General features: G+C 48.7%; 1 long non-coding RNA gene across 1 annotated transcript, besides 2 other annotated features; it reads right to left on the bottom strand.

The window, feature by feature from the left end:
- Positions 1-1,940, bottom strand: LOC105374842 (uncharacterized). The gene is made up of 3 exons (XR_940317.3): positions 1,780-1,940; positions 758-846; positions 1-228 (listed from the first exon to the last, which is right to left on the bottom strand). It is a non-coding gene; the product is annotated as an uncharacterized LOC105374842 (long non-coding RNA).
- Positions 13,240-13,289: an enhancer, noted in NCBI's record as "active region_16138". NCBI's record gives its function as "activates an Ori minimal core promoter by ATAC-STARR-seq in GM12878 lymphoblastoid cells {active_cell/tissue: GM12878}" and the evidence as "EXISTENCE:reporter gene assay evidence [ECO:0000049][PMID:35858748]".
- Positions 13,360-13,509: an enhancer, noted in NCBI's record as "active region_16137". NCBI's record gives its function as "activates an Ori minimal core promoter by ATAC-STARR-seq in GM12878 lymphoblastoid cells {active_cell/tissue: GM12878}" and the evidence as "EXISTENCE:reporter gene assay evidence [ECO:0000049][PMID:35858748]".

Raw genomic sequence — 13,698 nt, 5'->3', positions numbered from 1 at the left:
TTCCTTTTTTCCAACTTTATTGAAATATAATTAAGGTACACTCACATGCACACATTTAAAGTATACCACTTTACCAGTTCTAACACATGTACACACCCATAAAACCATCATAGCAGTCAAGACAGTGAACACATCCATCAGCCCTAAAAGTGTCCTTGTGCCCCTTTGGATAGATGGATGGGTAAGTGGATGGATGGATGATTGAATGGACAGAAGGATGAAGTCAGTCTGCAAGGAAGAAACAAGAAAGAAAATCTAGATCATGGGTGAATGGATGGATGATTGGAAACAGCCCCCACATGCCATAGTTTTTGCTCATCATTTTGGATACACCCCCCCAGATGCCCTTTATTTTATTTTATTTTTTTATTTAATTAATTAATTAATTAATTAATTATTGAGACTGATTCTCGCTCTGTCGCCCAGGCTGCAGGGCAGTGGCATGATTTCAGCTCACTGCAACCTCCGCCTCCCAAGTTCAAGCGATTCTCCTGCCTCAGCCTCCTGAGGAACTGGGATTACAGGCATGTGCCAGCACTCCCAGCTAATTTTTGTATTTTTAGTACAGACAGGGTTTCACCATATTGGCCAGGCTGGTCTCAAACTCCTGACCACCCGCCTCCGCCTCCCAGGGTGCTGGGATAACAGGCGTGAGCCACCGCGCCCTGCCTGGATGCCCCTTAAAATAGATGTTACAGAGACAGTTATGCATCAGCTGACTCTAAGGACCCATTCTGGGCCCAGGCAGCCTACTCACCCTGGAAGCTTGCTGGATTATTAAGAAATGACAGGCCAGCCAGGCTTTGTGTCTTGGACAGAAGCTCCTGAATGCAGCACTATGGCAAACTAAAAATAGATAAAAGTCTGAGGGCTGACTTGTTAAAGTAAAAATTGCATATATTTAAGGCATACAACGTGATATTTTGGCAAACATATACATAGTGAAGTATTAGTGGAAATGTAAATTAGTATAGCCATTATGGACAACAGTATAAAGGTTCCTTGAAAATTTAAAAATAGAATTACCATATGATTTAGCAATCCCTCTTCTGAGTATGCACCCAAAAGAAATGAGGCTGGGCACGACAGTTTACATCTGTATTCCCAGCACTTTGGGAGGCCAAGGCAGGAGGATCACTTGAGGCCAGGAGTTCAAGGCCAGCCTGGGCAATATAGCGAGACCCCCATCTCTACCAAAAAAAAAAAAAACACTCCTGACCACATGGCCACCACCATTTGTATCAGGCTTTGGAGTATGACACAAAGGAAATGTCAGTAGTTTCCCAGGGAGTCAGCAGACCTCACCTGAACTGTCCATAACTCATTTCTCAAGTTCCTAGGCTGCAAGAGAGGCTCAGCCTTCATCCATGCCTCTGGTTTCAGAGGTTAACCCTTTACATCACCCTTTCTCCCTCATGCACAGGCTCTCTGCCACATAACTTCTCAAAACTCTGCCACCCCAGGACCTCCCCTACTTGGGTCCCTTCCTTTGGGAGGCTCCAAAGTCACTGGCAACTTCTATGTCTGACTTTCACGGTTGATGACAGCTTGGATCCAGAGGTCTTAGAACTGAGGCTCATATACGCCCACTCTGAACCCTCACCTGGCTGCGAGCCCTACCTGCCTGCTTTCTCCACTCTCCCACCTATCAGCTTCCATCCCAGAATGACCCACATGACCCTGGCCTCCCCTGCAGCCTCACTTGTCTGCTGGCTTCTGTCCCTGGATGTCCTGGTGCCTGACCTTTACCACACCCCTGTCCTGGCGTTTGACTCATACCTGATGTGAAAGGACTGGGCACTCTGCTCTCAGCTTCCAGAACTGCATTCCCCAGCCTGACCCTCCGTCTTCTGGGATTCCTGCTTCCCCCTCAGGACTGTTGATCCACACCAGCCCCTCATCCTCACAACCAAAACAGGACAAAATCTACACCAGCGAGAATTGTTTTCTAACAGCTTCTTGTTTGCTAGTATATTTGACTGGGAAAGGAAGGTTTTTTTTTTTCCTTTGGCTTAATTTTTTTTTCAAAGTACAAAGACAATGAGTAATGACCACATGTAATTATACCAAGAAATACCATTATCAACAAGGTGATACACATCCTGCCAGTATTTCTCCAGTGTTTCGTATTGTTGTGTTTTTTTCTTTTTCATTATTAACCTAAGTTTCCTGAGGCATACCAACCTGTGTGTAAATTCTGAGTGGTGACATTTACCCTTATTTTACTGTCTCTTACCCTGTGGGCCATTGCAGTACTTTACATCCCCAACAAATTGCCCTTCAATTATGTCTGCAACTTATTCACCAAATCAGCCAGTTGTACAGTGGCAGTGCCTGGCACCACCATCTGGATAGGCACCAGCCTGTTTCCCAGGATAATTGGTCCCCAGGGTGCTGTTCTCTCTGCAGTGCCACCAGGGCCTGCTGGATGTGGCCATCTCTGCCAGGGATGCAGAGCTGGGCTGTGTCCCCTAGCACCCTGGAGGCCCCAAGGCAGCCAGGGTCTATCCTGAAATGAGAATGTCTCCCCTCCACTCTGGTTTCCCAGTTTGTTAGGCCATTTGAACCTACATGTCCTGGAGCTTTTAGCTGAAGCATCTCCTTCAGCATTTACTTGCAGACATCCTGTCACTGGGACTTGGACAAGAGCCCCTGGGGGCTGGGCTGGGGCAGACCTCCCTGTCAATTTTCAGAACTGCCCTACTCCCTGCCCAGCCAGAACACTGGGACTCTGCTACAAGTGGAGCTCCAGCCTGGTTGGAGTCTCTCTCAGCAGTTGCTCTGATAGCCTTTAGGATGGTGCCCCCAACCAGTCTGCAAAGCCTCCAGACCTCAGACTGCAGCCCTCGGTCATGTTCATTGATTCAGCAAACACCAAGTGAATGCTACTCTGTGCCAGGTACTCCGCCAGGCACTGAGAACAGGAAGATGAGTAAACATGAACATGGGGCCTGCCCTCATGGAACTTACTTTCTAGTGGGAGAGAAGACAATGATCAAATTACAAATAAGTGGACCCAGCGTGGTGAGTTACACCTGTAATCCCAGCACTTTGGGAAGCCGAGGCCAGATGATCACTTGAGGTCAAGAGTTCGAGACCAGCCTGGCCAACATGGTGAAACCCCACTTCTACTAAAAATGCAAAAATTAGTCAGGTGTGGTGGTGGGCACCTATAATCCCAGCTACCTGGGAGGCTGAGGCAGGAGAATCGCTTGAACTTGGGAGGCAGAGGTTGCAGTGAGCTGAGATTGTGCTACTGTACTCCAGCCTGGGTGACAAAGCGAGACTCCATCTCAAAAATATATATATATACACAAATAAGTGTAAACAGTAAGAAAGAACAGCTTGTCCGTGCATGGTGGCTCACGCCTGTAATCCTAGCACTTTGGGAGGCCGAGGCAGGCGGATCACCTGAGGTCAGGAGTTCGAGACCAGCCTGGCCAACATGGTGAAACCCTGTCTCTACTAAAAATACAAAACTTAGCCGGGTGTGGTGGCACATGCCTGTAATCCCAGCTACTCGGGAGGCTGAGGCAGGAGAATCGCTTGAACCCAGGAGGCAGAGGTTGCAGTGAGCCGAGATCGTGCCATTGCACTCCAGCCTGGCCTATAGAGCGAGATTCCGTCAAAAAAAAAAAAAAGAAAAGAAAAGAAAAATGAGGGAAGGGGAGGGGAGGGGAGGTTAAAATGTTGTAAAGCCCAGGTACTCGGTGCTGCCGCCTGTAATGAAGGAGCGCCTTCCTCAGCAGGTGCGTGGGCCCTGGGGTGTCGAGAGACTGGACCCCCTGGTGTTCCTTTAGTTCAGCAGAAACAGCTGCCCCAAGAAAGTTGGGCTGCAGCGAAGTCCGCGAAGGGCAAGGTGTGGGGATCGCGCTGCCCAGGGCGGTGCATCTCCACCTGGCTCCCGGGCGCCACCTTCCGGTCCTGCTTTGGAATTGCACTCCCTGGCCGCCCTGTGTTTGCGAGTGAGGGTTGGGAAGGCTGGGTGGCGTCCTGCCAGGTTGCTTCCTGAGCAGAAGTTAAGCCTGTTCCTTCCCAACTGGAACATTTAACAGCCAGGGAGAGACCCCAGAATTCTCTTTTCTCCTGGCATGATGATGGGCAGTGTTCAAGACGACCACTGCAAGTCAGCCTGTGCCCCGGGGTGACTGTGATGAGCAGAGTCCCTGGCCACACATAATGGGCCTGAGCCTGGGCATGGGACGTAGCTTTGTGGCCCTGAGCCACTACACTTAGGGGTTTCATGGTAATTTCCTGGAGACAGAGGCTCCTAGTGGCTGAAGGAATGTCTTTGTTGTGTTTTCTCATACAGGTGGCTTGGTGAGAGCAGGGCTGCGCTGCCCCTTCTGTCACCCCCACCCTGTGCCTGGAACAGCACTTGGGCACAGAGCCAGGACCCATCAGATTCAGCGACCTGACCCCATCTTCCTGGGAAAACACTTGTTCGTTCCTGCAGGAATGGCAGCTGGTGCCCTTCCAGTCAGAATCAGCTTCTCTTTTCCTGTTGAAGCCACCATCACTGCTCCCTTGTCCTAAGGCAGCTCAACTAAGGAGGTGCCCACTCGGCCTTCCCTGCTCCAGCCTCAAGATGCCTTCCTCAGGCTCCACATTTTCCCTCCATACTTTGCACCTGTTCAGGGCACAGCCCTCATCATGCCCCTCAGGACTCCACTTGAGGCCTCTTACTTCAGGGAGAGACCAAGAAGAGGGGCCTGAAGCACTTCCTGCAGAAAGGAGACCCAGCCCCTGCCAGAGGCCTGTGTGGCTTCTTATCTCCTTAGACCGGAGCAGTTGGAGGCTGGGTCAGAAAGGCAGAAAGGAACAGAAACCAACAATGGGCAGGAATGTCCTCCAGCTACAACCTATAGGCGCAGCTACAGCCAACAGGTGCAATTTTAGGGACATTTAAAAGGGTCATAATTCCATAAACAAAATGCGGTGTATGCACACAGCCTTTAAAAGGAAGGAAATTATAAGAGATGCATGATAACATGGATGAACCCAAAAGACACTCTGCTAAGTGAAATAAACCAGTCACCAAAGACAAATACTATATGAGTCCACTTCTAGGAGGGACACAGAACAGTGAAAATCATAGAGACAGGAAGTAGAATGATTATCAGGGGATGGGGGAAAGGAGAGTTAGAGAGGAGAAGTAGAATGATTGTCAGGGGATGGGGGAAAAGAGAGTTAGAGATGGGAAGTAGAATGATTGTCAGGGGATGGGAGGAAAGGAGAGTTAGTGTTTCATGGGCACAGAGTTTCTGCTTGGGAAGGTGAAAAGCATTCTGGAGATGGATGGTGGTGATGGTTGCGCATCAATGTGAATGTACATAAAGCCACTGAATGTACACTTGGAAACGGTTAGAATGTAAATTTTTTTTTTTTTTTTTTTTTTTAGATGGAGTTTCACTGTCTGTCGGCCAGGCTGGAGTGCAGTGGCGCAATCTCGGCTCACCACAACCTCCACCTCCCAGGTTCAAGCAATTCTCATGCCTCAGCCTCCCAAGTAGTTGGGATTACAGGCACCCGCTAGCATGCCCAGCTAATTTTGGTATTTTTAGTAGAGACGGGGTTTCACCATGTTGGCCAGGCTGGTCTAGAACTCCTGACCTCAGGTGATCCACCCGTCTCGGCCTCCCAAAGTGCTGGGATTACAGGCGTGAGCCACCACTCCTGGCCTAGGATGCAAATTTTAGGTTATGTGTATTTTACCACAAATGAAAAAAGAAAAAGATTCACAATTCCAGTCAGGAGAAAGGCACTGTCTTCTATACTGCTCAGAGGAGATGTCAGCATGACATCTTGGGAGACCTATTGTCAGTGTGCATTAAAATTTAAATATGCTAGGCCGGGCGCGGTGGCTCACGCCTGTAATCGCAGCACTTTGGGAGGCCTAGGCGGGAGGATCACCTGAGGCCAGGAGTTTGAGACCAGCCTGGCCAACATTGTGAAACCCCGTCTCTACTAAAAATACAAAAATTAGCTGGAAATGCTGGCAGGTGCCTGTAATCCCAGCTACTCGGGAGGCTGAGGTGGGAGGATCACTTGAACCCCGGGAGGTTGAGGCTGCAGTGAGCAGAGATCGTGCCACTGCACTCCAGCCTGGGCAACAGAGCAAGACTAGCACTAGAGCTACCAGAGGAGTCCCAATACCTGCTTGGACAACGTGGATAAAGCTGTGACATCTGGAACAGCTGTAGCCTTTTCACTGCTATGGAGGAAGACTTGGAGGCTCCAGACAGCAGAGGCTGAGCACAGGGAGAAACCATATCTTGGTGACATGATTTGCACCCGTGGATAAACTTTGCCAGCAACTACTTGATCAACTTCCAGATTTTTCAATTACATGAACCAAAAATCCTGCCCCTGCTTTTCTCTTTGAGACAGAGTCTCACTATGTTGCCCAGGCTGACCTCGAACTCCTGGGCTCAAGCGAAAATTCCCTTTCCTATAGGTCAGTTTGCATCGAGTTCTCTCTGCTTTGTAACATAAAAATGTCGGACAACACTTTCTTTTGCAATCAGAATTTAACTAATTAACACAAAAACAATAAATACATTCCCCAAGGTCAAATCTTCTCTTACCAGCTTTAAGAAAGCCTGCAAGTTATTTTTAGTTCTTCCTTTGCCCTCAGATGTTTCTGGCTTTTGAATAAAATATGCAAGTGCCGTGTTGAGCGAATTCTCACATTAAGCTTGTCCTGAATGGGGTTAAGATATCAGGACTACTTGAAATTAGAAAATATTTTTGAGCCCCCACTATGGACAAAGCCCCATCAAGGGTGTGATAAGAGCCGAAGATATCATTAGATGCAATTTCTGCTCCAGGGGTCAATGAGGAACAAACCTGCCTTCATGAACAGCACCCACTTAGGAGGGAAGCTCCTGGAAGCCAAGCCCACTATCTGGCTGGTTTACTGCTGTATCTCCAGTGCCTAGATTAGTGCCTGGCACATTGCCAAGTATATATTTTTATAATTGAATAAAAATAATAGAAGTGAATAAATGAATGGAACCATTACTTCTTTAGGTCATACCAATGTGGACTTAAAAATGGAGTCAATGCCAGAGTCAAACAACTTGAACTTCAAAAGGGTCCCCTTGAAGTTGTTAGTGGAACAGATTTCTTTGCTTTCTCCTTTCCTGGAACCCAGGCTCTACTTGAAGGGGCAGGGCTGCGCTGGTAGATGACAAATGCCATAAAAAGCTCAGCTCCTGGGCCGGGCACAGTGGCTCACGCCTCTAATCCCAGCACTTTGGGAGACTGAGGTAGGCAGATCACCTGAGGTCAGGAGTTCAAGACCAGCCTGGCCAACATGGTGAAACCTAGTCTCTACTAAAAAATAAAAAAATTAGCCGGGCATGGTGATGCATGCCTGTAATCCCAGCTACTCGGGAGGCTGAGGCAAGAGAATTGCTTGAACCCAGGAGGTGGAGGTTGCAGTGTGCTGAGATCACGCCATTGCACTCCAGCCTGGGCAACAAGAACAAAACATTGTCTCAGAAAAAAAAAAAAAAAAGCTCAGCTCCCTTCGTCTCTTCTCATAACTGGGGCTTTGTCAGAGAGTCGAACTGGTCAGTCTGACTCTCTCGTCCCTTAGGGAGCAGGTTCTCCTGAGAGGCTCCCAGGCCCCCATGCTCCTTCCCAGCAGGCTACTACAGCAGGACGACACCGGCCAGAACCAAATGTGTGTGCACCCAGGAGGCGGCATGGGAGAGGCTCAAGCTGTAGCCTCCAGGCCAAATGAACACCCAAGTCAAAGCCTGGCAGGTGCTAAGAGCTCTCCCAAAGGACAGATAGTACAATGGCAAGAGGGAGGGGATTGGGTTCCAGGTCTGAGGAAACTGGGAGACCTCCTTGGAGGATGTGAAATTTAACCTGCACAAAAAGGATGTAAAGTACTAACTAACTTCCTTTCTTCCTTCCCTCCCTCTGTTCTTTCTCCCTGTTTCTTTCTGTCTTTCCTTCCTTCTGCCTTTGATTGAGATTATTTGGGCTGCACATAACAGAATATCCAAGTAGAAATTATACAAACAGAACAATAAGGGCTTGGGATTGGTTAAATCAGCATCTTGGCCATGTCAATGCTCTGAGCTCCTTCTCAGTACTTCTTCTGTCTCCCCATTCTTGGAGCAAGATGGCTGCCATGGTTTCGACATCCCAGCCTTGCATGAGAATGTCCAAAAGAAGAAAGAGGCACTTCTCCTCATCTGTCTGCTTTAACCAGGATGAAAACATTCCCCGGAAGGATCCCCCACCATGCTGCCGCCAGCCAACTTGCGTCAGTCTGGTTGACCAGAACCCAAATACATGCTTACCCTAAGTAATTACCGGCAAAGGGAGATGGTATGGCCAGATCATGGTGCGTCCCCAGGGTGAGGCCACAGAATCAGCTCTCTGAACCAGAACAAAACTTGGGTTCCATTAACAAGGAAGAAAGAGGGAATGGCAGTTGGTTGATTAGGCAGCCACTGTGTTCCCAGCACCATGCTGGGGCCTGAATCAGCCATGAGCAGACAAGCACATTTCCTTCCTGCAGGGAGTGTCCAGTTAGGGACAGAGGGAAAGGACATTCCTGGCAGGGAGGATGAGCAGATGAGCTTTCATCAAGGCCCTGGGGGAATGGACATCTGACAGATGATGAAAGAGGACAGCCCTGATGCAAGAGCCAAATGTCACCCATTTTGGACACTTACTCAAGGAATATTTCTTCACTGAGATTCAACACTCAGATCTTCCCCAAGGCCTCTACTGCAATCACACTTTTTGGTCATAGAACTCACGCACAGCAAGAGTGACTCGAACTGTGCCTGCCCAAAACCCAACATGTCCAATGTTCAATTTGGATTTGGTAAACAGAGCCTCACATCTTGGTGTGGGGAAGGGGAAACATGGATGGGCTGCAAATACGGTGGGCAGCTGCATGCATTTCCTAGGGCTGCTGGAACAAAGCACCACAAGCTGGGTGGCTTCAAGCAACAGAAATGTGTTCTCTAACGACTATGGAGTCCAGAAGTCTGAAATCCGGGCCGTGCACCCTCCGAAGGCTGTAGGGAAGAACCCTTCCCTGCCTCTTCTTGGCTTCTGGCGGTTGCTGCAATCCCTAGTGTTCCTGAGCTTGCAGCTGCCATCACTCCAATCTCTGCCTCCATGGTCACATGGCACTCCCTCTGTGCCCCAATCTCCCTTTCTTATAAGGACACCGGTCATTGGATTAGGGCCCACCCTAATGACCACATCTTAAATTGATTACATCTGCAAAGGCTCTATTTCAAATAAGGTCACAGTCACAGACACCAGGGGTTAGGACATCAACATATTTTAAGGGCACAATTCAGCCCACAACAGCAGCGTAAAGAAAAGGGAATTCGAGGAAGGTCAATGTCAACATTGCCAGTTCCTCCTACCGGCTATTCTTAATAGAATCCAGCTGAGCTTGGGGAGACAGAAGAAGGAAAAGAGATGATCCCAGTCCCCAGAGATGTTCAGGGCCAAAGCTATTCGGGCTGCTCAGACACAGACCAGGGAGCAGGAGATGTGGGTTTGGCTGTCACTCTCTACCAAGCTCCCCAACACTCTGAACCTCTATTTGTGGTGCAGAGTGGTGAACTCTCCCTGTACCAGCCCCATGCTCTCTCTTTTCCTAGGCCTTTGCATGAACTATTTATCTGCCTGGAAATCCTCCTCAATCAATCCCGCCCCACCATTTGACCAGGCCAATTTCTATGCCTCCCCAAGTCTCCCCGTAGCTGCCCCATCTCCCCCAGCGTCTCCTCTTCCTCTCCAGGCCTGGGTAGTATTCCACTCTGATTACTGGTCTGTGCCCTCATCCATAGATATTAAGTCCACCAGGGTGGTGACCATTGTCATCCCAACTCCTAGCTCATTAACCATTTTTTGGTCAAACAAATGAATTGTGAAAGGTCTTTATAAACTGTAAGTTTCATTGCCAAGGGCCCTACCTCCCTACCCCTTCCCACGGAGAAATTCCTTCTTTTGAAAGAAAGACATAAGATAGAGCTATGCTAGGAAAGGCTGCTACCATGAGGCCTCCTGAGGTGCACTGGCCTTGTATTTCTCATGGGTTGGTTCTACCCCAGAAACAGAAACTACACTCAAATAAATTCAACTACGAAGAGTGGGGATAGGAGAGGGGAGGAAAGTCATGGGTCCTTAGGCTCAGGCCCCAAGCAGAGTCAGAAGAATGCAGCCCAAAATACAACAAAAGGAACTAAAATGAATTCTGCTCTTCCGTGCATCTCTGCAAGGACATAAAAGAGATTTTAATATCAACTGTCCCATTTGGCTGATCTCTTTTTTCCCAGCCCCAGGTGTCTCAAGTCCCACACTTGGGAGTCTCACACTTTCCACAGTCAAGAAGAAAAACAAGACTCTTCTCCACCTGCAGCCTGGTTTGTTTCTCTCTCTTCCCCTTTCTTTTTCAATTGTGATGAAATATACAAATATAGATAACATAATACTGCCTTAACCATTTTTAAGTGTACAGCTCGGGGACGTCAAGCCCACCCACATTATGCAACCAAAACCGTCGTTCATCTCCAGAACTTTTCATCACAGGATGAAACTTTGTTTCCATTAACCAGTACCTCCGCGTTCCCTCTTCCCCAGCCCCTGGTAACCTCTGACCTACTTTCTGTCCCTACGAGTTTGACTACTCTGCATACTTCCTATAAATGGAATCACACAATATCTGTCCTTTTGTGACTGGATTATTTCACTGAGCGTCATGTTTTCAAGATTCATCCATGTTGTAGCATGTGTCCAAATTTCTTTCCTTTTTTTTCCTACCCCCACCCACCCCAGACGGAGTATTGCTCTGTTGCCCAGGCTAGAGTGCAGTGGCGCAATCTCAGTTCTCTGTAACCTCCGCCTCCCGGGTTCAAGCGATTCTCCAGCCTCAGCCTCCCGAGTAGCTGGGATTACAGGCATGCACCACCAGGCCCGGCTAATTTTTGTATTTTTAGTAGAGACGGGGTTTCACCGTGTTGGTAAGGCTGGTCTCGAACTCCTGACCTCGTGATCTGCCCACCTTGGCCTCCCAAAGTCCTGGGATTACAGGCATGAGCCACTGCGCCTGGCTGAATTTCCTTCCTAAAAAGGCTCAATAATATTCCTTTGAGTGTGTACAACACATTTTGTTTACCCATTCATCCGTGGATGAACACTTGTTTCTACCTTTTGGCTATTATGAATAATGCTGCAATGAAAACTGACATACAAATATCTGTTCCGGTACCTGTTTTCCATTCTCTTGAATACGTACGTAGGAGTGGAATTGCTGGGTCTGAAAGTAATTCAATATTCAAACTTTTCAGAAACTGTTTTGTAAAAACTATTTTCCACACAGGTTTCCACAGTGACTGCACCATTTCACATTCTCGGCAGCAAAGCACCTAGGGTTCCAATTTCTCCACATCCTCTCAACATGTATTATTTTCTGGTTTTTCATAATAGCCGTCCTAGAGGGTGTGAGGTATGGTTTTGATTTGCTCCATTTTGCATTAAGTGGCCAAGGACCCCCTTGGCAATGCACCATTAACTTGACTTTGATCCTTCACCCCACAATCAGCTGACTTGGCTCTCATCTCCCAATTTAAAAATCCAATTGGTTCAGCCAAGCATGCAGATGGACTCTTTTGGGGTCTGGTGTGTCTACCTCTGGTCCAGTCGGCTCTGGCCAGGGGGATGAAGGGAGGTGGTCCATGAGGCTTCCCTTTCCAGGGATGTGGTGCGTGGCTTTCTAGACAGTATTACTGGGGCAGGCAGGGGCAGACCTGTGTGGTGTAGACCCATGGACACAATGCTAGGCGGGACATGTGTCTTCTATATTTTGATGACAAGGAACTGGCTCTCAGAAACATGAGTTTGTCCACACACCAAGAGAAGAGGCATCTCCTGTGAATAAACTTGAGTTAATCAAGTTCTCCATCCCCAGAGTAGCTATCAGAATGTTCTTTTTTTTTTTTTTTTTTTCCCAGAATGTTTCTTTATTCATTTCCAGTGAGAAGCAGGTAGGCCAGGAGAAGAACCGTCAGTAGAGGCAGATCCATGCAGGTTCCCCCTGCAGCCACGCTTCACAGGAAGCCCGATTTTCATCAGAGACTGTGGTGAGGATGGCATCAAAGCAAGGGGTGCCAGGAGACTGCCCATCCCAGGGACCAGGAGCCAGGACACCCTCAGCTCAGTCAACAGCTGGCTTTTTGTGTCTCCTTTATTGGTGCTCTTGGATGGCAGCTCTCGACAGTCAGATACCAATCCCTCTTTGAGGTTCTGATAAAAGCCACGGACCCACTACCTAGAAAACCCCACATAAGCACCTGGTTTTGCATTCAGCATTATGGCTTTTAGACAATGCTATGTGTCCACCAACTCCATCTCCCTTCCCTCCTGGGCATGCAGGCGCATTGCACTTCCCAGCTTTCCCTGGGGTTAGTGAGGGTGTGAGACTGAACTGAGAGGGAAGAAATGACGGACACCACTCCCAGGCCTCGTCCCTAAAACCTCCTCCACCATCTTCCACTCTTTCTCTCTTCTCCCTGTTGGCCAGATGCAGGGGACCCAGGGGAGGACTCTGAGCCCTCCAAGCAAGCAGAAGGGGGACTCCGAGCACCTGAATGACGGTACGGACCTGAGTCTCACCACCCGGAGCCAACCTGTGCTGCACTGTAACCGAGTAAGAAGGAAACATGTGGGCCAGGCGCGGTGGCTCACACCTATAATCCCAGCACTTTGGGAGGCCAAGGCAGGCGGATCACCTGAGATCAGGAGTTCGAAACCAACCTGGTCAACATGGTGAAACCCCATCTCTACTAAAAAAATACAAAAATTAGCTGGGCGTGATCACGGGTGCCTGTACTCCCCAGCTATTCAGGAGGCTGAGGCAGGAGAATCGCTTGAACCCGGGAGGCAGAGGTTGCAGTGAGCCAAGATCGTACCACTGCACTCCAGCCTGGGCAACAGAGTGAGACTCCATCTCAAAAAAAAAAAGAAGGAAACATGTGGCTAGGCACAGTGGCTTATGCCTGTAATCCCAGCACTTTGGGAGGCTGAGGTGGGTGGATCACCTGAGCTCAGGAGTTCGAAACGAGCCTGGGCAATATGGCAAAACCCTGTCTCTACCAAAAATATCATAGAAAAAAATTAGCCAGACGTGGTGGCGTATGCCTGTGGTCCGAGCTACTCTGGAGACTTAGGTGGGAGGATCACTTGAGCCTGGGAGACAGAGGTTGCAGTGAGCCAAGATCACGCCACTGCACTCCAGCCTGAGCGCCAGAGTGAGACCCCATGTCAAAAAACAAAAAAAAAAAGAAAAAGAAACTTGCATGAAGCCCATAGACTGGAGGGCTCTCTGTTATGGTAGTGGGACCACCCTGACCAATACGCCCCTGGAGGCAGCCAGCCACAAATCCCCACTCTCTTGCGCAGCCTGTCCTGATTGTATTCAAACGAGATACCACTCGCTGATTTGTTTAATACATACTGAATAACAAGCACGTTTCAGTTCCACCTTCCTGAGGTTCTACCAAGGTCACTCAGTTCCCAGTCTTTGGTTACTCATTTTTACACAGTCTTGGTGGACTCCCATGATGGCAGCTGTGTTTGTTGTACTGACAAGGACTTGAGGCCAACAGAAACTACATAAATCCTTGGGTAACCTTGAGTGTGGCATTAGCC

The sequence above is a fragment of the Homo sapiens genome, chromosome 2 (genome assembly GCF_000001405.40).
Source record: "Homo sapiens chromosome 2, GRCh38.p14 Primary Assembly".
Classification (NCBI taxonomy): Eukaryota; Metazoa; Chordata; class Mammalia; order Primates; family Hominidae; genus Homo; species Homo sapiens.
The sequence above is the reverse complement of the archived record's forward strand: the minus strand, read 5'-3'. Positions and strand labels throughout refer to the sequence as shown.